Genomic DNA, 26,013 nt, shown 5'->3' with positions numbered 1-26,013 from the left:
ATCCCTCAATTTCATTAATCCATAAAACATTTCCTAGTCAATTATACAAAATAAGAATATGTAATATTCTGTTTTTAGTGTAATTTTTAAAGCAAAATTGCATACATGTATTTGTGCTTGTTTGGACATGGGAAAGAGAATGATTATTTTCATTCCCTGAGATGGCATAGTAAAGTGATAAATAGCAAATGCCCTTATTGTGAGTGTACTCTCCTTTGTTTTAAAAACACTCGATGCTTATCATGAATAGGGTATTCAATTTCTTGAAGTTTATAATGGAGTTACATTGATTTGCATTGAAATTCAGGTGGCATCATTAACTACTATGTATTCTTATATAAACCAGTTAACCCCTTAAGCCTCAATTTCTTCAACTGTAGAATAGGGATAATATGTAACTTATGTTTTTGTAAGGATTAGAGGTATTGTATATATAGTTAGTATAGTGTCTAGTCCCAAGTTAGAGCTAAATAAATGTACCAATAATATGCCAAACGAATATTTCTATTGTATGAAAATATGGTTTTGCTGTGTCCCCACCCAAATCTCACCTTGAATTGTAATAATCCCTATGCGTCAAGTGGGGCACCTGGTGGAGATAAATGAATCATGGGGGTAGTTTCCCCCATACTGTTCTCATGGTAGTGAATAAGTCTCATGAGATCTGATGGTTTTATAAATGGGAATTCCCCTACACAAACTCTCTTGCCCACCACTGCATAAGATGTGACTTTCTTCCCCTTTGCCTTCTGCCACGATTGTGAGGCCTCTCCAGCCACATGGAACTGAGTCCATTAAGCCTCTTTTTCTTTATAAATTATCCAGTCTTGGTTATGTCTTTATTAGCAGTATGAGAACTGACTAATACAGATGACAAATAAATGCATAAAATAAAATACAAATATATTACATTTATGTATTCTATACTAGACACTGGGTTATCTACTAGAAGACTTAACAAAGAAGAAATCTTAGTATCTGTGTTCAAAGAGATAATAATTTTGGTTGAGGGGAGCAACCCAAGAGAGACATGTACACAGCAAATTATAAAATAAATTAGACCATGTTTAGACCTCTTAGCAGAGGATTACAAACAGTGCCCGAGATCCCAAAGGTGGGAGTAATTCATTCTGATTGGGAAAATGTAATGAGGGCAATCCATGGGGTATCAGGGAGAACTTCACTTAAATACTAACATTGGAGAATGCTCTTAAAGAATAGACAGAATTTCAGCAAGTGGAGAAGAAAGAATATCTGAGGAAGGGCAGATAGCATCAGAAAAGGCACAGTGGCATGGGACATGATATGGTTTGGCTGTGTCCCCACCCAAACCTCAACTTAAATTGTATCTCCCAGAATTCCCACATGTTGGGAAGGATCCAAGGGGAGGTAATTGAATCATGTGGGCCAGTCTCTTCCATGCTATTCTCATGATAGTGAATAAGTTTCACGGGATCTGATAGGTTTATCAGGGATGTCCGCTTTTGCTTCTTCCTCATTTTATCTTGCTGCCACTGTGTAAGAAGTGCCTTTTGCCTCCTGCCATGGTTCTGAGGCCTCCCCAGCCATGTGGAACTTTAAGTCCAATTAAACCTCTTTTTCTTCCCAGCCTCGGGTTTGTCTTTATCAGTCGTGTGAACATGGACTAATACAGTAAATTGGTACCAGTAGAGTGGGGCATTGCTGAAAAGATATCCAAAAATGTGGAAGTGACTTTGGAACTGGGTAACAGGCAAAGGTTGGAACAGTTGGAGGGCTCAGAGGAAGACAGGAAAATGTGGGAAAATTTGGAACTGCCTAGAGACTTGTTAAATGGCTTTGCTCGAGATGCTGATAGCGATATGGACAATAAGGTCCAGGCTGAGGTGGTCTCAGATGGAGATGAGGAACTTTTTGGGAACTGGAGTAAGGTGGCTCTTGTTATGTTTTAGCAAAGAGACTGGTGGCATTTTGCCCCTGCCCTAGAGATTTGTGAAAATTTGAACTTGAGAAAGATGACTTAGGGTATCTGGTGGAAGAAATTTCTAAGCAGCAAAGCATTCAAGAGGTGACTTGGGTACTGTTAAAGATATTCAGTTTTAAAAGGGAAGCAGAGCATGAAAGTTTGGAAAATTTGCAGCCTGACTATGCAATAGAAAAGAAAAATCCATTTTCCGGGGGAGAAATTCAATAAAGCTGCAGAAATTTGCATAAGTAAAAAGGAATCTAATGTTAATCTCCAAGATCATGGGAAAAATGTCTCTAGGCCATGTCAGAGACCTTCATGGAAGCCCCTCCCATCACAGGCCCAGAGGCCCTGGAGGAAAAAGGGTTTCTGTGGGCTGGGCCCTGGGTCCCTATGCTGCGTGCAGCCTAGGGACTTGGTACCCTGTGTCCCAGCTGCTCTAGCTGTGGCTGAAAGGGACCAACGTAGAGCTTGGGCTGTGGCTTCAGAGGGTGGAAGCCCCAAGCCTTGGCAGCTTCCATGTGGTGTTGAGCCTGTGGGTGCACAGAAGTCAAGAATTGAGGTTTGGGAACCTCCACCTAGATTTCAGAAGAGGTATGGAAACATCTAGATGCCCAGGCAAAAGTTTTCTGCAAGGGTGGGACCCTCATGGAGAACCTCTGCTAGGGCAGTGCAGAAGGGAAATGTGGGGTCATAGCCCCCACACAGAGTCCCTACTGGGGCACTGCCTAGTGGAACTGTGAGAAGAGGGCCACCATCCTCCAGACCCCAGAATGGTAGATCCACTGACAGCTTGCACTGTGTACCTGGAAAAGCCGGAGACACTAAACACCAGCCTGTGAAAGCAGCCAGGAGGGAGGCTTTACCCTGCAAAGCCACAGGGGCAGAGCTGCCCAAGATCATGGGAACCCACCTCTTGCATCAGTGTGAGTTGAATGTGAGACCTGGAGTCAAAGGAGATCATTTTGGAGCTTTAAAATGTGACTGCCCCACTGGATTTCAGACTTGCATGGGCCCTGTAACCCCTTTGTTTTGGCCAATTTCTCCCATTTGGAATGCCTGTACTTACCAAATACCTGTACCTCCATTGTATCTAGGAATTAACTAGCTTGCGTTTGGTTTTACAGGCTCATAGGCAGAATGGACTTGCCTTGTCTTAGATGAGACTTTGGACTCTGGACTTTTGGGTTAGTGCTGAAAAGAGTTAAGATTTGGGGGGCTGTTGGGAAGACATGACTGGTTTTGAGATGTGAGGACATGAGATTTGGAGGGGCCAGGGGTTGGCAAATGATATGGATTGGCTGTGTCCCCACCCAAATCTCAACTTGAATTGTATCTCCCAGAATTCCCATGTGTTGTGGGAGAGACTCAAGGGGAGGTAATTGAATCACGGGGGCTGGTCTTTCTCATGCTATGCTTGTGATAGTGAATAAGTACCATGAGACCTGATTGGTTTATCAGGGGTTTCTGCTTTTGCTTCTTCCTCATTTTTTTCTTTCTTTTTTTTTTTGCTGACACCATGTAAGAAATGCCTTTTGCCTCCCACTGTGATTCTGAGGCCTCCCCAGCCATGCGGAACTGTAAGTCCAATTAAACCTCTTTTTCTTCCCAGCCTTGAATATGTCTTTATCAGCAGTGTGAAAACGGACTAATACAGGACATGAATGTGCAGTGTTTTCTGGGAAAAATGAACACTCCAGCATGGTAGGGGTAAGCAGGAAAAGTCAGCTGTAGGAAAGTGATGGCAGACTTTGAATGCAAGGCTAAGAGTTTGTGCTTTATTCTGTGAGCAATGGTGAACCATTAAATGGGTTTTATTGTGGAAGTGACATATTAGATCCAAGTTTTAAAATGATATATTAAAATGGTACTTTTTTGTGGTGTGGTGAATGAAGGTGAGGTGGTTGGTTGGTTGGTGGTTGTTTAACTAGAACAGTAATTGGCAAATATTTTCTGTAAGGACCAGAAAATAATTATTTTTGGCTTTGAGGGTCATATGGTCTTTGTTGCAACTACTCAGTACTGCATTGTAGCACAAAAGCAGCCACAGACAATATATTAATGTATGAGTGCTGCTGTTTCAATAAAACTTTATTTACAAAAACAGGCAACTAGCTAAATGTGGCCCTAGGGCCATAGTTTGCCCAGTTCTGTATGTAATAGACCAGATGAGAGAGGATGAAGACCTGCACTTGGGTAGTGGCAGATAATGAAAACAGAATAAACAAATTTGAGAGAGACTACGGACATAGTAGTTTTGGATTCATATTTAGCATTTGGTGAGAGCATGAAGTTTAAGGGCACTGGACAAGTATCAAAACTTTTTGATATCAGGGTGGATATTGGAAACGAAATAAAGATTGAAATAGTAAAAAGTTTTTGACTGAAAAAAGCATATTTCAACAGATAATTTGGTTTGGGCATACAAAGATTTAAATGAAATAAAATATATTCTAACACATAATTTGGTATAGGCATGCTAAATGAACAAGTACTGTAGCCTATAAAGGCAGAAATCATAAAGGAAACATTGTTAGATTTAACTACATGAACTAGAAAACCATAAAGAAAATTATTGGATTAAATCCAATGACATTTCTAATGGTAGACTATTTTTTGCCTAAAAAAGGCAATTTCTGACCAGGTGCAGTGGCTCACATCTGTAATCCCACAACTTTGGGAAGCCAAGGCAGGAGGATTGCTTGAGCCCAGGAGTTCGAGACCAGCCTGGGCAACATAGTGAGACTCCATCTCTACAAAAAAATTTAAATTAAAAAATGCAATTTCATATGGTATAATGTATACATGGTAAAGAACAAAGAAAAAGGAATGTTTAGAACAAATATGAGAGGGTGGAATAATGCTTTTTATATGTAAAGAACTCTTTAAAACCAATGAGAAAAAGACAAACTTTCCAGAAGAAAACTGGACAAAACATATGAATGGGCAATTCACAAATATTTCTGATTTAAATATTTGAGAAAATGCTCAACCTCGGTGATAAATAAATACACATATAGTGATAATATTGTACAGGTTTTCACCTGCAGTGCAGACATTTTTAAAGACACCGGGAAATTCTGATAATTTTAAGTGTCCAAAGGAAATAAGAGCTCAACAATTTTTGGTAAGCTTGTAAAGTGATATGACCATTATGGATGACTGTTTGCTAAATATGTGCATAGCTTTTGACCAAATGATTCTATTTCTAGTAACTTGCCCTAAAGATACAATCTAAAATGTGTGCGGTACCTTATGTATGAGGTTGTTCATTATAGAGTTATTTATAAGAGCCAAATGTTAGATAAGACAAATAACTTATAATAGTAAGATGTAATATCTAACAGTGCCCAGATATCTGATTGAACATTATTCTGTGTGGGCTTCTGTGAGGGATTTTTTTAAATGTGAGATTAATGTTTAAATTCATGGACTACTCTTCATAGTGAGGACTGGCCTCATCCAATCAGTGGAAAGCCTAAAAAGAACAAAGACTGACCTCTCCAGAGCAAGAGAGAATTCTGCCAATAGATGACCTTTGGACTTGAACTGAAATGTCAGCCCTTTCCTAGTCTCCAGCCTGCAGCCCCATCCTACAGATTTTGGATTTGCTGGCCTCTACAATTGCATAAGCCAATTCCTTAAAATAAATCTCTCTCTATATATATTTATGTACACCCTACTGGTACTGTTTCTCTGGAGAACACTGACTAATGAAATATAAAATCTCACATTTAAGAGTGTATATAAAATTGAGAGGGCTTATTCTTATTTAGACATGAATTATGGTCATATGCAACATCAAGACAAGCTATTGGCTTCAGAGTTACTAAAAAGAGGTTGGACTCCACTGTTGGATTCATCCTCTGTTTTTGTCAACTCGCTGCTTCTTGGGTTTTGTTCAACCTTACTGCTTCTTACACAGCCTCAATCAAGTGGTGTTTTGGATGTAACAGAGTTAAGGTGCACTGACTGTGCGCTATGCTCTTGCAGCTGCCTGAGATGATTGTGTCTTTTGGCCTCTTGCTTCGCTTTATTGCTTCAGGAACCACGGAGAATAAGGCACATGTTATCTTGTCATGTTTTGTACACGGCTGTCTGAATTCCTTAACACCTAGATGCACATTACCAGATTCCAAGGTTTGCAGCCACTTGAGCTGAATTATTCTTAAATGAAAATAGTAAAAATCATAATAACTTTCCAGGCCCTGCAAAAGCTGATGTGTGCTGCATAAAAACCAAGCCTAGACCCATCTTCACTGATGCTGCCTTTATTATAATAATAATAATGATATTCATAGTTGACGGCGGCTTCATTTACTGCTTCATTTACTTTTATAAGTATTATCTGATTTGATCCTCAAAAATATTAGAGAGGAGATTCTTATTCTAATTTTATATACATCTATATGGAAATGAAAGCCCTGAGAAGTTAGATGTATAAGAACACATACCTAATGGCAGTTGGGGGCGCTGGGATCCCCATTCTCATTTTCTGGTTCTAAATTCCATCCCCATTCCTCTTTCCTCTTAGCCTTTTTTCTTTCGGTTCCATAATTCAACAATATTCATTTATGAAATTCTATGCCCAAGTATTGTTCTAGGTCTTAGGATATGTCAGGCAGTAAGACAGATTTCTTCATGAACCATTTCTGTGGACTGACTTCATGAAGCTTAGAGTCCAAGAAGGAAGATGGGCATAAAAAATACAAATAATTTCAATTGTGAGACCTGCTATTGAGGATAAACATAGGAGGCCTTTAAAGTGTGTAAGTGAAATCATTTACTCAGCCTTGCCTTAGAATAAAATGTTTCACATAAACAAATATTCCAGATAACTCTTGCCACTTCAAATGCAACATTTCCATTTTGGATGGAAATCCATCAAAAATACATTAGAAGATTCTTTGCTTTATAAGGGGCATGTGTGAGACAGATACATTATATTTTTCTTGAACTCTGAGTCATTCTGCTGCATTCAGCATTGGTCTATGTTTTAATACTGTAGGGAGTTCATATATCGGTCAGTCTCTTAGCAGGAAGCAAATGACACACTTAAGTAGGGAAATAGGGGATAATTAAAGAAAGAGAATCTTTACAAAGGTGTAGGCAAGGCTGAAGGGACAAGAGTGGGAGCAGTTACAAGAACCCAGATTGCATAGCTGTAGGAAAAGGCTGCCCCGTAGGAGATATAACCCTCAGTTGACCTGTGGGAATGCAGCAGGAGGGAGTTGGGGGTGACAAATGTCCATGCCATTCTCCTGCCCTCTGATTTGCTGTGTCCAACCAGGAGTGAGAAGGTCAGGGGCATATTGAAGGCATCCATACAGCACCCTCTGGGGTAGACAGCAGGGTGAGAAGGATGGAGAGGAGGTCTGGATTGGCAAATGAAAGATGTACAGTGTAGCTTCTCCTGATCTTTGTTACCAGTTCTGCTTCTAACAGCCTTTTCTGTCACTATTTTTAACTCCAACAGCCTCATGAATGGTCTGCTTGCTTGCATGCACTGTTGCCCCTTATAGCACAACCCTTTTTTTCCCTCAGCAGCCAAGGTTATTTTAGAAAAATGCCATAAATCAAGTAATATGCACCCCCCATGCTTACAACTGGCCATTTGCTTCCCATTGCCCTTAAAATCTAAACTCTTCCATAACCTATAAAGCCCTGTTTGAGCAGCCCTCTCCCCTTTTTTTAGCTTCATCAGGTGCCTGCATCTGGCCTTCCTGTTGCTGTCTATGCCAAGCTTGTTCTCATTTCAGGCAGTTGTCACGTTCTGTTTCCTGTGTCTGAAATCCTCCTGATGACCTTACAAATGGTGATGGCTTGTTCTCCTCCTCTTTCTTCTCTTCCTCGTCCTTCTCTCCCTCCTCCCCCTTCTCCTCTTCTTTTTGTTTTCTTCCTCTTCCTCTCCCTTTTCCTCACTTTCCTTCCATCTCCCTCTTTCTCTCTTCCTCCTCCTCTTTCTCCTCCTGCATCATCATCATCATTATTAAAGCAATTCACTTTTTGGAGGTACAACATTATACACTAAATGGCCCCGTATTTTAACTATACAGCCTGATGAATGTTCACATACATATACACCCATAAAACCGCCACTCAGATCAAGCAGAAAGCATTTCCAACCCCCAGAAGGCTCTCTTGTGCTCCTGCCAGTCAATATCTGCCCCCTCCCCAAAAGGTATTTTGAACTCTATTACCATCGATCATTTGTGCCTGTTTCTGAAGTTCATCTAAGTGCAGTCGTATAATTTGTATCCCTTTTTGTGTAGTTTCTGCTGTTCAATATAATGACTGTGAGAGCTATCCATGTTGTTTCTTATAACAGTAGTTGGTTGTTTTGCTATGTAATATTCCATTGTGTGTACATACCAGAGTTTATCCATTCCATTGCTAAGGACATTTGGTTTCTAGTTTTGGTCTTTATGAATAACACTGCATGGGGAATTTGCTGGTTATACATCAAGAGTGGAATTATTGGGCTGTAAGATAAGGATATGTTTATAGTAGGTGATATTTCTAAACAGTTTTTCAAAAATGGTTGTGCCAATTTACCATCCCACTAGCAGTATGTGAGAGCTCCCATTATCTTACATCCTTGTCAGCACTTGGTACTGACTATTTAATTTTAGCCATTCTGGTGGATGTGTAGAGGTATCTCATTATGGTTTTAATTTGCATTTTGTTGCTAACAAGGTTGAGCATCTTTTCATATGCATAGTGGCTGATTGCCTCTTATATAAAGTACCAATCAAATCTTTCCGCCATTTTTTAGAAAAAAGGATTGCCTCACTTTTTCCTATTGATTTATAGTTCTTGATATATTTTGAGTATGCATTCCTTGTTAGACACATGTTTTGTAAATATCTTCTCCCAGTCTATCTGAGAAAGCTTGCCTTTTCACTCTCTTAATAGTGTTTTTGATAAATGGAAGGTCTGAAGTCAAATTTAACAAACATTTCTTCTATGGTCGACGTGTTCTGTGACCTGTTTCAGAAATCTTTGAACATTCACTTATTATAACCTCCTCAGAGAGACGTGCACTGAGCTCCTCGTATGTTTCACCCTCCTGGCCAACCACTGACCTCTCTGGGCCTGGAGCATCAGTGAAGTCCAGCAATGCTCCTGGGGGTTGTCCAGTAGCAGTGGCCTTGAGTTCAGACTGAGGTTCAAATTCACAAGCCCCAATCAGCTTTACTGGCATCAAGGACAGGCAACAACATGGTATGACACGGTGGTCACAAGAGACAGAGCTTAGCAGGTAGAGAGCATCTCAGCTACAGAAAGCCATAAGCTTTGGGGTCCCTTCAGATTTATAAGTAGCTTGTCACATATCCTCTGAGGTGGATTCTGGGGAGCTCTTCCCAGATCTTCCACAGCAAAACTAAGGCACCTGTTGCCTCCCTTCCCCCATCTTCCCCAGCCATGTTGGCAGCTGATGTCTTACAGCTGACTGTCTTTCAGGAATCATCCTCAATATGGGAAATCTCTGAAGGACCATCACGCTCACTCTCCCAGGTCAGCTGAGGCCTCTTTTGCAAATGAGTCAAAATGCACTTTCTCCATCTATCGAATCTCCTTACCTTTGCTCCTTCAGGATTGTGGATCCTGGGAGCCCTCTTCCAGAAACTTCCTGCATGCAAATCTCCCTCTCAGAGGCAGCTTCCCTGGACCCCCTCAGGGACTACCAGGGGTCTGACTTGCATGGCAGAGATGGTGGGGAGGGTTTTCTGCTGCAGCTGTTGCTCATCCATACTGGCTCCTCAGTTCTCAATAAGTCTCAATAATGAGGTTCAGGTCCTTGGAAGGGCACACAGTGCTCAGCTGGATTTTCATTCATTCTGGAACCAGTACAGGCATTCTCCAAATGCTTTGCTATTCCCTGAAGCAATGTTGACCAAGGGTCAAATCCTCAAGGATCTCTGAGGCTAGAAGACAACCACAGAACCAGCCGTTAATCTTATTGTTCCAAAGTGTGTGTTTGTATATATCTGTGTGTACACACACATATGCCTGTGTATATACACACATAAATATATACATGTGTACATATACATGTATAGATGTGTGTGTGTACTCAGTCAGCAAATTCTTAAATAAAATATATTCTGCCTTCATACCCTGACAAAATAGGAAGGCCAGATACCCGTTCAGAAATTTTAGATTCTTTGGACTTTTGTGCCAGAACATGGCAGCGTGAGGAGAAACAGCCCCCGTGCCTGACCCATGACCATAGCCCACCCTAATTTTGCTTCCATTCCCAAATCCACTCAACTTTACTGTCCCTAAATCCCCAAATCCACTCAACTTTACTGTCGCTGGCCCTCTTCAGCATGCGCCTCTTCTATTATGGTATTTCTTCATCATTCTTACCACTCTGGAGTTATCTTGTTTCTTATTAATTTTTGGTTGTTTATTATCAATCACCCCTACTGAAATTGATGTTAGGAGGGCAAAGTTCTCACGTCTCTTGCTCACCATTCTATCCCAAGTGGCTGGCACATGAATGATGAAACAGAGGCCCAGGCTTGTTAAAAATACTCATTAAATAACTGCTACAGACATTGGAAACAAGGGCCTGAGGGGGAATCGTAGTTTAGGGGAGCAATGGGCCCTTTCTGCTTGCTCCGTGGTTTTTGCTCCAGAGGCTTGGGATGGTAGGGTGACCAACCCACCCTGGAATTTCCTGGTTTTAACACTAGAGTCCTGCATACTTACAAACCCTCATTCCCAGGCAAATGGGGACCCCTGATTGGTCACCTCACTCAGCCAAATATGGTCAGGAAGCTGGCTAATAAAGAGATTTTTCTGATAGTTGAAGGGCCAGCTCTGTCTTCTTAGCAGCTACTTACAATAATTAAGAAAATGTAACAAAAAAGTATTTATCAGAATTTAGTGAGGCCAAAAGATTTATGCTTTATTCTCAACATACCAAAATCGGATTAAGCATCATGAGATGACAGCCATTTTCAAAAGTATGTCACACTGAGGTTAAAAAGTGAGTCTTGGTAAATACAAAGTAATTGGACGGCATCTTATTTTCAGCAGCTTCCCCTTCATTACAGTCTAGACGAGGCATGGTTTACCGTTCTTTCTCCATTCATTTGGAGATTTTATGAGAATGTGTAAGTCGTTGACATTTTGGGCACCACTAATGAAAACTTATTATCCATTATGCCAGATTGAAGGGAACAGAAATTACAGAGTCTGAGGAAGGTCTGGCAACAGCAGCACAGCCACAAATTCCAGTGAAAAAAGCAGAGCTCCAAGAAGCCTGAATAGAAAGACTGTGTGAGGAGAGTGCTGCAGTCCAAACGACTTCCTGCCTGATCAGAATGCTTGGCTGCTGGGACACCCTCCTAGCCAGGGTATCAGTTATGATGGCTTCCTGCTGAGGGTTACAGAAACCTGGCCACTGGTTGCTAAACTTAGGGGTTTAATTTTTCTCACATAAAGTGAAGTTTTGGAAGGTAGCCAGTCCTAGGCTGTGACTCCACTATGACATCAGGTCTCATTGGCTAGGACTGTGTCACATGGCCACCTAGACATTTCATTGGCTAGGACTGTGTCACATGGCCACCTAGACATTTCATTGGGTAGGACTGTGTCACATGGCCACATAGACATCTCATTGGCTAGGACTGTGTCACAAGGCCACATAGACATCTTATTGGCTAGGATTGTGTCATATGACTATCTATGGCTGCAAGGGGGATTGGGAGCATCACTGCCTTCTAGCCCTCCCTACCTTGAATCAGGGTTCTCCTGATGAGGAAAGGTAGAAATAGGGAGCAGCTGGAAGTTTTTGGCACAAGATGAAACCTACCGGCCTCCTGCCAGAAGATAGGTTAGAAATCTGTGTCTAATTAGGGCATCTGCTTGGATGGAGGGCATGTACACAGTCTAAGCTCCAGGTGACATGTTTCACAGAGTCCATTGGTGAGATGAAATGCCAACTGAATGGGAATTAGCAGGAGGAAGAATTCATGGGACTCCGAGATGATAAAGAAAATGTCATTTAAGTGCAATGTAAGGGAAAAATAGTTCAAATTTTACTTAGAAAAAATGAGTTACAAATAGTTTATAATTAATCTAGCACATAGTTCATGCTGTAGCTAAAATTGTGCCTAGCACTGTGCTGTTGATTTGAGAGGTAATGATAATCCCTTATTTCTAGGACTAATAAATGAAAAGTTAAATGGTAGTCAACTGAATAACTTCCCTCAGGCATCAGAAAAGGGAAGTTCATTCTGGTCTGGGGTAGTCAGGAAAGGCTTCATGGAGGAAGTGAAGCATGCCTGGATACTTGGATGAGGGGTTGGATTTGGCAGTTAGAGAAGATAGTGCAGGAGTCACACAGTCAACATAGTCTTGGGCCTGGGGTGACCAGTGAGCTATGACGGTTAATTTTATGTGTCAACTTGTCTGATTTAAGGGATACCCAGATAGCTCGTAAAACTTTATTTCTTGGTGTGTCTGTGAGGGTGTTTCCAGAAGAGATTAGCATTTGAGTAAAGAAGATCTGCCTTCACCAATATGGGCAGGCACCACCCAATCTGTTGATGGCCTGAAAAGAACAAAAAGGCAGAGGAAAGACAAATTCACTTTGTTTTCTGGAGCTCAGACATCCATTGTCTCCTGCCTTCACATGTCAGAATTTCAGGTTCTTAGGCCTTTGGACTCTGGAACTTATACCATTGGCTCCTCTGATTTTCAGGCCTTCAGACTTAGACCGAATTACACCCAGGTTTCCTGGTTTCCTGTTTGTGGAAGGCATGGGATGGGACTTCTCAGACTCCATAATCACTTGTGCCAATTCTCGTAATAAGTCCCCACTCTATCTACCTGTCTGTCTGTCTGTCCGTCTATCTATCTATCTATCTATCTATCTATCTATCTATCTATCTATCTATCCATCCATCCATCCATCCATCCATCCACCCATCCACCCATCCATCCATCCTATTGGTTCTGTTTCTCTGGAGAACCCTGATTACTACACCAGCTTAAATGCAAGGTGTTCAAAGACTGCTAGTTGCATAAATATTACTATTATCTCATTGTTTCTTGATAAGAAAACCTCTATTTCACTGGGTATAGTAACATATTCACTTAGAAAACTACGTTTCTCATCTTCTTTTGAAGCAAAAAAATGGCTGATGAGGTAAGATTTGGGTGGGCTGGGACTCCCAGGATAGATCTTTGAAAAGGCTTAATGTAGTTGTAAAAAAGCATTTTTTTTTGCCTTTTCCTCTTTTCTGCTGCCTAAAACATGATTTGATGGCTATATCTGCAGTGACTATTTTATGAGGTGGGGTAATCTCATCAATGGGAACTACAAGATAAAAATTACAGAGCAAAAAGGTACACAGTGCCTGGATCTCTGCTGACCATGGAGCCATCATACCAGTTCTGGACTTCTCTTATGAAAGTGAAAAAATACAATTTTATGTGAAGGCACTGATCTATGACAGCCCTGTAGTATGCAGGAGATATGGTTGGAGCAAAGATGTCCATGAGAAGCGTCCTGCACTAGGTGTAATGGTCAGATCTGCATTCCCTTGCTGTTGTTATTCACTGGCTGGTGGCTTAGCAGGAAGAGTGTGGCCTTGGCTCAGGAGCGGAGACAAACCCTGAAGATGCTAACAGTTGGAGGCCATCAGCTAACCATTTTATTTTTTATTTTTTTGAGACAGATTTTTGCTCTTGTCCTCCAGGCTGGAGTGCAATGGCGTGATCTCAGCTCACTGCAACCTCCACCTCCCGGGTTCAAACGATTCTCCTGCCTCAGCCTCCCTGGTAGCTGGGATTACAGGCACCCACCACCACGCCCAGCTAATTTTTTGTATTTTTAGTAGAGACGAGGTTTTACTATGTCGGCCAGGTTGGTCTCGAACTCATGACCTCAAGTAATCCAGCCGCCTCAGCCTCCCAAAGCGTTGGCATTACAGGCGTAAGCCACTCTGCCTGGCTCAGCTAATCATTTTCTTACAGCAGGACAGCAATTCTCAGAGGAAGATCTGAGCAGCATTCCCACAGTTGCCACAGGCTTTCTCCACATCTCCCTGAATTTCATCCCAATTCTCCTCCTCAGGGTTCCCCTACCAGACTTCTGGGACCATCTACTCTCCCTCAGCAAGCATCATGGTCCAGGTTCTCCCTTGCCTCTGACACGTTTCTGAGACATAGATATTTGCTTAATGCTGAGGCTCTGCTCCTTTGCAGTTTCTGCTGCCATGGGATGTGGACAGTGAAGCACTGTTTCAAGGGCATCCAGTGTAGGGGCTTCAAGGGCTTGGAGCAAAGTGGGTGAGCGCTGATCCTCTGGAGAGTAGGGAGGGCCGAAGAGAGAACTTCCACACTGGTTGCAGCTTGTTCTTGGCTAAAAATCTTTAAAATGCATCAAACCTCACAGCTCAAAGATGACTTTTCTTCACAGACCCCCTATTCACAGAGCTTCACACTATTCGCTCAGAACTATAACCCTGGTTGTGTTCTGCTAAGAACGCATTTGCTTCCTTCCCAAAGCAGCCTGTGTTTACTGGACCACAGAGTGAGCTCTGCCCAGCTCACAGAGCCCCAGGTGACCTGCCCTGGGGAGGAGGAGACTCCATTCAAGTCCACCCTGACACAACAGAGTAACCCCATTCCATCCTCATAATCATCCACAACACATTACATTCATCATTCAACATCCTAGGCAGCCCAGATGCCACATATCAGAAGCAACTGGCGGGCACCATGGAGGAAACCTGGATATCGACCTGTATCTCTCTGGCAGCAAAAGCCCATGCACTTTCTGATAGTCCACACTCAGCAGAAGAGCTTGGACTTTATGGATCCGTTCATTCATTTATGTAGCACATGATTATCGGGTACTACTGTGTGCCAGCCACACAGCTGCTAGGAAGCTTATATTTTAGCAGAGACGCAGGCATGCATTTAATCTGTAATAACTAATATAGACCAAGCATTACCAGACCTGGGCTGAGTTATCCTGGTACATTATCTTCTCACAGCACCCAATGAAGTAGGTGATATTTTGAATATGCACTTTGCTGCTGAAGAAGCTGAGGTTTAGCAAAGTTATGCAACTTGTTCAAGGTCACACAGCAGGTAAGTGTCAAAGTGGGGTTCTCAGGCAGTCCAACACCAGAGCTCATAGGCTCAATTGCTACACTAAATGGCTGCTCCCCTGGGAAATGAAGAAGTGCAGAAAGTTTTTAAAGAAAAGCATGGCCTTCTGAAAGTCATCTGTAGAAGTTAGTACAGGAAGATGTGCTGCAAGGCTGCTGTAGAGTCAAACGCCTATTAACCTCAATAGGGATGGGACCAGGTTTGAGAGGCCAAAGAAGAGACCTACAGCCAGCAAAAGAAGATGTGGAGTTTCATTGGGAGCTTAATTATAGCTTAAATATAGGAAAGAGAGTCCAGTGGTGGTGGACTGGACAACATATCCTCGTTCCTACAGTCCAGCGGCAGCGGGCTGGGCAGGAAAACCGCAACCACTGACAAACAACATGCAGTTTATATGCAGCATTTTCACTGAACACCCTCTCCCTAACAACATCCACCTGGCAACCTTCATCCAACCCAAACCTCAGGGCCTCACTTTCCTGTATAGCCTGTGTTCCACAGGATTGGCTGGGGCCTCAGAGGTTTATCATAGATAAGGAACACACCTCTGGGTTGGCCACTCCCAGATTCCCTAGCTTGGAACACACATTCTGGTGCATCTGCTATACAGCATCATTTTAAGGGTATGTTTAAGTTATTGCTATCAGGTGCCTTTATCTTATACCCTACAGCCACCACCATGCAAATGCAGTGCATGGTAAGCACCAAAAGGGACAGCATGCTGGGGCTGTGCCTGGCTGCTAATGCCAGTCCTGAAGACAGACATCACTATGGTCAAGATAGTCATGAGAGATGCAGCTGGAAGGATCAAGAGGTTTCCGCCTAAGGACCAAATACCAAAAATTAATCTTCAGTTCCAAAACATTAAAGACTGCATTGGAATATTACTCCAAGTCCATAAAATCAACCATTGGATTATGGACAATATGAACACAGAACTGTTCTTTCAATGTCAGGAGTTGAGAAACAGGTGGCCCCTCTTGTTCTAAGACAAAAAGAGAGACGTATTGTTTTCCACAGCTGGGAGCACGCTGGGTACTCTCTGTAAAACAGGAAGAGCAAAAACTCGTGCCCTGTTCCTCAAGCGGTTTCTGCAGGCCACTTCAGCAAGCAGTGGATTCCAAAGTTCTTTTTTTTTTTTTTCAATACTTCAAGCTCTCAGGTACATGTGCACAATGTGCAGGTTTGTTACATATGTATACATGTGCCATGTTGGTGTGCTGCACCCATTAACTCATCATTTACATTAAGTATATCTCCTAATGCTATTCCTCCCCCTTCCCCCCACCCCATGACAGGCCCTGGTGTGTGATGTTCCCCACGCTGTGTCCAAGTGCAAATCAAAACCACAATGAGATACCGTCTCATACCAGTTAGAAAGGTGATCATTAAAAAGTCAGGAAATAACAGGTGCTGGAGAGGATGTGGAGAAATAGGAACACTTTTACGCTGTTGGTGGGATTGTAAACTATTCAACCATTGTGGAAGACAGTGTGGCAATTCCTCAAGGATCTAGAGCTAGAAATACCATTCGACCCAGCCATCCCATTCCTGGGTATATACCCAAAGGATTATAAATCATGCTGCTATAAAGACGCACATGTATGCTGATTGCAGCACTATTCACAATAGCAGAGACCTGGAAACAACCCAAATGTCCATCAATGATAGGCTGGATTAAGAAAATGTGGCACATATATACTAGGGAATACTATGCAGCCATAACAAGGGATGAGTTCATGTCCTTTCTAGGGACATGGATGAAGCTGGAAACCATCTTTCTGAGCAAACTATTGCAAGAACAGAAAACCAAACACCGCATATTCTCACTCATAGGTAGGAATTGAACAATGGATTCCAAAGTTCTTACAGCGAAATGTGTGTGTGCATTTGTTCAAATGCCTTTCTGTGTGAATACTCAATACATAAGACAAATCCAAGAGCTGCTGCTGTGGAGTAAGAGAGGGTCTCACAGCCCTTCCTAGGGTGTCTGGGCATACAGCAGCCTATGAGGCAGCTTCATGAAGCAAGACTGAAAGCCACCAGGAAAATTCAGGTTCCATGCCTGCACAGAAGCAAAATTTCATCTTGTGATACAATACCACTTTTTGAGCATTTGGCAGCATGAGAAACTTTAGCAGCAGTCAAGGGATGAGACAGTAATAGATATGACAATGTAAAAGTTAAGGGGGCGGTTTCTAAGAGTCCGTATTTTTAAGTCTGGGAGAAAGCCCTGAGAGGATGCTGTCATGGGCAAGGCCAGCCTGGCAGGTGGGATTAGGAGGAGAGACGGCTTTGAAGGGGTGGATTTAGAGACTCACATCTGCTTCTTTGGGGTGTTCACGTGGGGAATTGAGAGGGAAGATCCCTGTTATCAATTCAGCATGAAATTGTGCAGTCCTGATGATTTGTGGGGGTAGGCTCTTAGAATCCAAGCAGATGGCCTGGGATATGCTGTAGTCATGTCCACTCGTAAATTAGAATGTGGCTGGGGGTAAGGTTTTCATCCAGTTCCAAGATTTGTACCGCTGCTGATTTTTAATGTTTCTGGCTTGGAACTAAGAAGTACAAACTACGTTTGAGCTGACTTTCACTTTCAGAATAAGATAGTAGCTTTCAAACAATTTTAGCAACTGTTTCCAGATATTTGTTAAGCAGCACAATCCAGTTTTCCAATTAAATCTTGGAATTCCATGACATTGAATAGACAATTCAGGATTTTTATCAGCATAAATTTATTTTGTGAGTCCAAATGTATAACATTCATTTTATATAAAGTTAATCTGAGAGAAAAATGGGTCTGTTTTGATGATCTGTAATATCTGAAATCAGAACTGAATGCCCCGCTCTTTTATCAATTCCATTATCCATTTTTTTTTAATAAATGTTGTTTCCTTGTTGCCACAGATATGAGGAAACAGTGGTTCACCCAGATAAGGGGCAGTAAGAATTGTTTTTAAGTAGCTTGTCCTTTAGTCCCATTATATTCTAATTGACCAAAGGTAGCAGAAGATACTGTATCCTAAGTTTTCCTTCAGAAAAAGCTATATTGTAAACAAGTCAGCATGGCAGTTGCTCCTCATTTAAAAACTGATTTTTGGGGGTGAGTTCTGGTTGTGGAACCCAGTGCTATTCTTTCTTCTAATTGGTCTTCTTGTCACAAGTTGTACCTAGTGTCTTATTCCTGGGTGGTTCTAGAATCTTCTGGAACAATACAGGTGCCATTGGTGATCCACCATCCTGAGTTTTCAAACTGCTTTCCATGTAACCCCAGAGTTTGATTTAGATTTCATTTTAAAACATGTTAATCATTTTCAAAGTGTCATCTTAAAAAGCACATGAATTTTGTCACATTGGAGATAACTGACGCACTGACCATATTGTCTGCCAGCTTGACTTCCTTGGGCAGCCTTAGCATAAAATATCTTCTGTTACTCTGGTTAATGAAAGAGTATACTGAGATTAGGCAAGGACTTATACTCTCCATATGTAACAGAGGTTGTTAGTTGTCTTAGCAATATCCATTTTCCATTCTTTCTTAAAAATAGGAACTCACAACAACGTGCCCAGTTATAAGACATTTCCCAGTCTTCTTTGCAATAAGATGCGATCACATGAAAACCTTACAGGTCAGGAGAGAGTGGCATGACATACTTAAAGTGCTGAAAGAAAAGAAAAACTTTTATCCTAGAATATTGTATCTAGCAAAAATATCCTTCAAACACGAGGGAGAAATAAAGACTTTCTCAGACAAACAAACCTGAGGAATTTCATCGACACCAGGCCTGTTCTACAAGAAATGCTAAAGGGGGTTCTTCAATTGGAAAGAAAAGGATACTAATGAACAACAAAGAGTCATCTGAAAGTACAAAACTCACTGGTAATCCTAAGTACACAGAAATACACAGAATATTATGACATTGTAATTGTGGTGTGTAAATTACTCGTATCTTGAGTAGGAAGACTAAAAGATGAACCTATCAAAAATAATAACTACAATAACTTTTTAAGACATACGCAGTATGAGATATAAATAGAAACAACAGAAAGTTAAAAAATGAGGCGGGGGGCGGTGAAGTTAAAGTGTAGCATTTTTATTCATTTCTCTTTGCTTATTTGTTTGTTTTTGCAATTAGATGTGACAGGACCAAGTCCTAGTCAATGAGATATAAGCAGATTGTTGGATGGCATTTCCAGAAGATTCCTTGTGGCAGATTCTCTTCTATTGTCCTTCCATACTTTCCTCTTCCTTTGTCTTTGAATGTGAATATAATGGCTGGAGCTCCAACAGCCACCTTGGGCCATGAAGTGATCTTGAGTATAGCAGCTTAAGGGATAGTATTGCAAAAATATTAAAGTGAGTTCTTGATAATGATAGAGCCATCATATGAGCTCTGGAGTTTCTGTCTCCTAACTTCTTTCACTTCTGCTTGTTTAGGTTGTGTTTATGTACAGTCAAACCTAATCCTGACTGATGTGATCAGAAAGCCCTGATCTAGAAGAAACTATGCATCTTTAGGTTGGTAGATGTACCAGTTAAGATCCTTTGATTGCACATAATAGACACCCACGTGATAGTGGATTGACTGATAAAGTATTTAATTAGGGTATATAACAGGAAGTCAGAAGGTAGGCACCCCCAGAATTGATTCGTCAGCTTGGTGATCTCATTGTGGATCTAGGCTCTTGCCATTGTCCTGCTCTTCCAACCTCAGCATTTAGGAAATATTTCCCTTATAGTTTCAAAATACTACACACAACCACACTCAAGGAGGAAAGCCAAGAGGCTCACCTTTCCTAGAGCATCTCTAATTTTTTTTTTTAAGCAAGTCATACACATTGCCACTATAGCCTCAACTGGACTTTTTGAGGTTGTACACTTTGCAACTAACCAGAATTAGGATTCTGAACCTTAGGGTAGAAGGAATAAATGGCTTTTGGACAGGTAATATAACAGACTTTGCTAAGAGATTCTTTTTCCCCCACACTACACTGATGTATTAAGAGATTTTTAAAAGGGCATTGGAACTGGCAGGTCAGCTGAAGACTCTAATGGAATCTACCAGTATGCAGGGTCTCCTGGGACTTTCCTCTGCCCACGGAGGAAAGGCTCCCCTCCCAGGCTGGCCTAGTGGGAGTCAGAGAACACCAGAAGGTAGGACTTTATTGGGAAATATTAGCCCTTACTTCCACACCTGAGTCTTCTTTTCTGAAAGTAGATTGAGGCTGCAGGTGACTTGTGTTCTGCAAAGCCCATCAGCCTCATTCCTCTGACTGTTGGGAAATGAGGTTGACACCATTAACAGTGTCCACATCATTTAAAAGGCTAAAATATTAAATATTTTTTCTAAAAAGTATAATATTTTATACTTATGCTAAATATACTAAAGTATAAATACTAAGAGTATAAATTATACTAATACATATAATAATAATATAAATTAATATTTAGTATTTTTACTAAAGTATAAATATTATACTAAGGATAGTATTTTGTCTTTAAAACTCAAGTATATAAAATATTTTTAAGATCTTTTTTTTTGGTGGTGGTTGTTAGCTCAGGGTCATCTTCAGGAACATCACTTTTTAGCAGCTTTATTGAAATATAATTTACTAACAATAAAGCTTACCTGTTTAAGTATACAATTCAATGATTTTAAATATATTTACTGAGTTAAATAACCATCATTGCTGTCTAATTTTAGAATACTTCCATCACCCCAGAAAGAAACCCCATAGTCATTAGCAGTCACTCCTTGTACATACCACCCCTACTTGTCCACTGCCCTCGATCTAGGCAAGCCCTAATCTGCTATTTGTCTCTATGAATTTGCCTGTTGTGGACATTTTGTATAAAGGGAATCATACAATATGCAACCTTTTGTGTGTAACTTCTTTTACTTAGCATGGTGTTTTTGAGATTCACCCACAATGTATCATGTGTCGGTACTTCATTTTTATTGCCAAATACCATTATATTGCGTGGCTATACCACATTTCGTTTCTCTGTTCATCTGTTGATGGACATTTGGATTGTTTTCATGTTTTGGTTATTATAAATAATGTTATTAACATTTGTGTACTTGGTTTTGTGTGAACATAAGTTTTCATTTCTAAGAGAATTATTTTTTGTAGTGTTTTGTAGGAGAGACTAATGATAGCAGGCGTATATGCTATGAACTTAAGGTGTGGTATGACTTCTCCACTACGTTGTTTATTTGTGTGCCAATAGTGATGCTGTCAAGAGCCAATGAGAAGGGTTCAGAAAAGAAAAATGAAGGAAGCAGAATTCCAGTGATTAAAAGATAGGCAGTGAGATGGGTGTGTGTATGCATATGTGTGTATGTATGTGTGTGACTGTGCACATATGCATGCATCTGTGCATTTTGTTTCAAGTCATAGTATCATTTGATAATTATCTTTCCTATTCACTTACATCAAAGTGTCAACTCAGTTTAGCTAACAGCCATTGAGCCTGACAACGTGCAAGGCATTTCAGTGGCTCTATACTTTGTCTGTGGCTCCTAAAACTTTATGTCTATCAGTTTTTCAATGTTCTCTGGCAGCCATCTTGGACTTAGTAAATGAATAGTTGGTGAGGTAAAATTTGAATATAGGCAGAATAATTCCCGAATGTTTTTATGAAGTGCATAATCCTTTTATAAATCAGGGATCCTTTTGGTTATTCTTTTTATAGGATTGGATACATATGTATATAGATAGACAGTAATAGTAACTACTTCTTCTTTTCTTTCTTTCTTTTTTTTTTTTTTTTTGAGACAGAGTTTCACTCCTGTTGCCCAGGCTGGAGTGCAATGGTGTGATCTCGGCTCACTGCAACCTCTGCCTCCTGGTTCGCACGATTCTCCTGCCTCAGCCTCCCGAGTAGCTGAGACTACAGGCATGCGCCACCATGCCTGGCTAATTTTTTTGTGTTTTTAGTAGATATGGAGTTTTTCCATGTTGGTCAGGCTGGTCTCGAACTCCTGACCTCAGGTGATCTGCCCGCCTTGGCCTCCCAAAGTGCTGGGATTACAGGCGTGAACCACTGCACCCGGCCTAATAATAAATACTCCTTATTGAGTTACCCCAGTTGTTAGACAAGTGATTTCTAACCCTGACAGCATATTAAAATCATGTGGGGAAGCTTTTTAAAAAAACCCAGCCCCACTCTCGGAGATGCTGATATAAACGCTGTGGGGTGGGACAAAGACATTAACATTTATTAAAATATCTTCAGGTAATTCTAAGTTACACCATGGTTTCAGAACTACTTATGCCAGACAGTGTGATGGACACTTTTTGTACATTATCTTATGTTTTTTCTGTAACCAGAGTGATGGAAGTGATGGATGCCAGTATACCCTCTTATAGATTTTAAAAATATGTGTCGAGCACTTAGTATGTGCCAGACAATTTTAAACATTTTACACGTATCAACTCATTTCATAATTACAATGGCCCTATGGAGTAGTTGCTATTACTATCTGCATTTTATAGATGAAGAAGTTGAGTCTTACAGTAGTAACTTAACATTGTTAACTAATAAATGAAGGAGGAGGAGTTAGAATTGGAATCCACAGTCTTGGTCTGTTTGAGTTGCTATAACAAAATACTATAAACTGAGTGGCTTAAAAACAGCAGACATTTATTTTTCACAGTTCAGGAGGCTGGGAAGTCCAAGATCAAGGCTCCAGCAGATTCAGTGTCTGATGAGGGACAGCTTCCTGGTTCCTAGATGGTGGCTTCTTGCTGTGTCCTCACATGGTGAAAGGGGCAAGGGAGCTCTCTGGGGCCTCTTTTACAAGGACATTAATTCCATTCATAAGAGCTCCACCCTCATGACCTAATCACCTTCCAAAGGCTCCACCTCCTAATACCATCACATTGGTGATTAAGTTTCAATGTATGAATTTTGGGAAGACAAAAACACTCAGACCATGGCAACTTTCATGCTGTATTGCAGAGGAGGAAATAACATTCAGAGAGTTGTTCTAGGAAAATAAGTTATTCACAAAGCTAATTTGGAAACCAGATCTTCTGACATTGAATAATAATACTGCTATTATTACTAGTTATAATAATTATAAAATTATCACTACTAACATCCTGCTAGCATTTATTGAGAGTTTATTATGATCCAGACACTGTGCTAAGGACCTTGCCTTGTTTAATTCTTGTACGAACTCACTATTTTTGCAACAGCTCCTATTACATTCATTACATTCTTCAGGCAAGGTCATTGAAACTTAGAAGGGTCAGTAGAGCTGGGATTCAAATCCAGGTCTGGCAGCCTATAAACTCACACTATTTCTGTGCACTCTATGTAAACAATGTGAATATAAGCACACAGGATGTTAATATTCCTTTCGGTCCTTCCAGTGACCCCCTTTGCGGGGCAATTAGAGTCCACAAATGGAAATGTTACCAGAAACACTTCTTAGTTGAATAAACATTTCTGGATGAATATTGTCCCCATGTGGAAAACAGAGATAAAGGGTATATCCAGGGAAAAATAGAAAAACTACTATAAAAGATCTAGTCTAGCTTCTGGGGCTCAAGGGTAAGTTTTCCTTGTGTGTGTATGTACCATGTTCAGAGCTGAGTGTACTGTGGGGCAGGGGTGCCCAATCCCTGGGCCACAGATCGGTACCAGTCTGTGGCTTGTTAGGAATTGGGCAGCACAGCAGGAGGTGAATGGTGGGCAAGTGAACGAAGCTTCGTCTGTATTTACACCTGCTCCTGATTGCTCGAATTACTACCTGAGCCCTGCCTCCTTTCAGATCAGCGGCAGCATTAGATTCTCATAGGAGCATGAGCCCTTCTCTGAACTGTGCATGTGAGGGATCTAGGATGCAAGGTCCTTATGAGAATCTAATGCCTGATGATCTGTCACTGTCTCCCATCACTCCCAGATGGGACCATCCAGTTGCAGGAACACAAGCTCAGGCTTCCACTGATTCTATATTATGGTGAGTTATATAATTATTTCATCATATATTATAATGTAATAATAATAGAAATAAATTGCACAATAAATGTAATGTGCTTGAATCATCCTGAAACCATCCCCTCTCCACCACAGGTCTGTGGAAAAGTTGTCTTCCGTGAAACTGGTCTCTGGTGCCAAAAAGGTTGGGGACCACTGCTGTAGGGACAAGAGGTCCTCTAGGAGGAAGAAGGCAACATGGAGGAGGAGGGAAAAGAGGTGAAAGCGTGATCTGACAGAAGGATGAGAGAGCACTGGACCATAGCTCTGACCTGATTTGCATAACTGACCCCTATCCCTGGTAACAGGAGGACTGATTGGCAGTTAATATTGAGGAAGACATGTGGCTTCCTAAGGTGAGGTTGCAAAATTATTGTTATATCCTGGAAATAGATGGAATGGAAGTCTCAGAGAGATGCAAAAATGTTAGGAGAGAAGTAGGGGAGTAGTATTGACTCACTGCTCAGGATGACAATTTTAAATATGTACAATAGGAAGTGTGAGTCCCAACTTTGCTATTTCAGGAGCAAGAAAACCTGGGGAGAATTGATGAAACTAAAGATTCACAAATATTCCTTGGGAATATTATAGAAAAAGACATACTAAAAAGGATAAGGGGTACGTGGCTCGGGTGAAACTGATAAAATGGAATAGATTTTGAGAAGTTGTATCATGGACTCTGTAGCCTGCATAGAACCATAGCCTTTTGCTCATGAAAGATGAGTTTGACCTTGTTGAGAAAATATCTGGTATAAAATTCTGATGGCCCTAGTCGAAGGGCCCCCGATGACTGTCAGACTTAGTGGGGTACCTGGGACCACATGGTATTCCAGACCACTTCTAAGTTTGGGTGTTTTTGGCAGCAGTGTTGAATTCCATGGACTTCCACCCTGAGGTGAAGAATTTATTGAACAAATGTGTTCTATCTCGAGGACAGGCCAGCTCACAGTCCGTCCCACACAGCTTCTGAAAGCCAGTATTGTTATTTCTCCTCTGGGTGTGCGAGTGTGTGTGTGGGCACACACGTGTGAAGTTTTAGGTAGGAGCTGAAGGTAGGGAAAAGGGGAAGGTCAATATTTATGAGTGGGTTTCTAAGATTTTATTTTATTTTTCTTATTTCATTTCCATGACCAGCATATGCCTTCTGGTGTCTAAGGCCCCATGATTTCGCATTTATAAGTGACTAAAAACAAAACCTTATTATAGGAAATTAGATTCTTTTGCTGTAGCTTATTTTTCATTTTTGAATTCATAAAAACAAAAAGAAATTCTATTATCAGAGAGAAGTCTTTCACTTAGAATGTTATTAAAATAAATAACCCAAATGCCTGTGATACAGACTGGACCCTTTCTGTAAAATTGGAAATATATTCACCACATTGCCTGAGTTTTCTGCACATGTCTCTCCAGCCCCAGCCTGTAGAACACACGCATTCTCTCTCCTCTCCAGGATACAGGTCATTTCTTGATTTCTTCCTTCTTTTAATTCATTGCTGTCAGTTTGAGGAGCTTCTTCTCTTTATACATGACTGAACTTGGCCTGGAACCTGCTCCTGTTTCACTGGGGGCAATCTCATACTGGGCCTTCAAATCTAATTATTTAAACCACATGACTAATCTATGGAAAATCCCCAGGTTTTGGCCATTTTCAGACATTCTGGCATCTTTGCAACAAAGATGTAATTTTTCCAAAAGGCTGAGTTGTGTGTGTGTGTGTGTGTGTGTGTGTGTGTTTGGTTAATTTACACCATTCACAGATCCTGTCCTGATGAATCATGATGCCTCTGCCAAATAGATGACCTAGTTTTCCAGTGTCTGGTACGAGCTGGGATGTTGGTGTTGCCTGAGTGTTGAATGTCGATCAGTGGTGTTTATCGAACACCCACTGTGCGCCTCGTACCGCCACTGGCAGCTGCAAGCAAGTTGGAAAGAAAACAGAGAT

The sequence above is a fragment of the Homo sapiens genome, chromosome 2 (assembly GCF_000001405.40).
Source record: "Homo sapiens chromosome 2, GRCh38.p14 Primary Assembly".
NCBI classification, from domain to species: domain Eukaryota; kingdom Metazoa; phylum Chordata; class Mammalia; order Primates; family Hominidae; genus Homo; species Homo sapiens.
The sequence above is the reverse complement of the archived record's forward strand: the minus strand, read 5'-3'. Positions refer to the sequence as shown.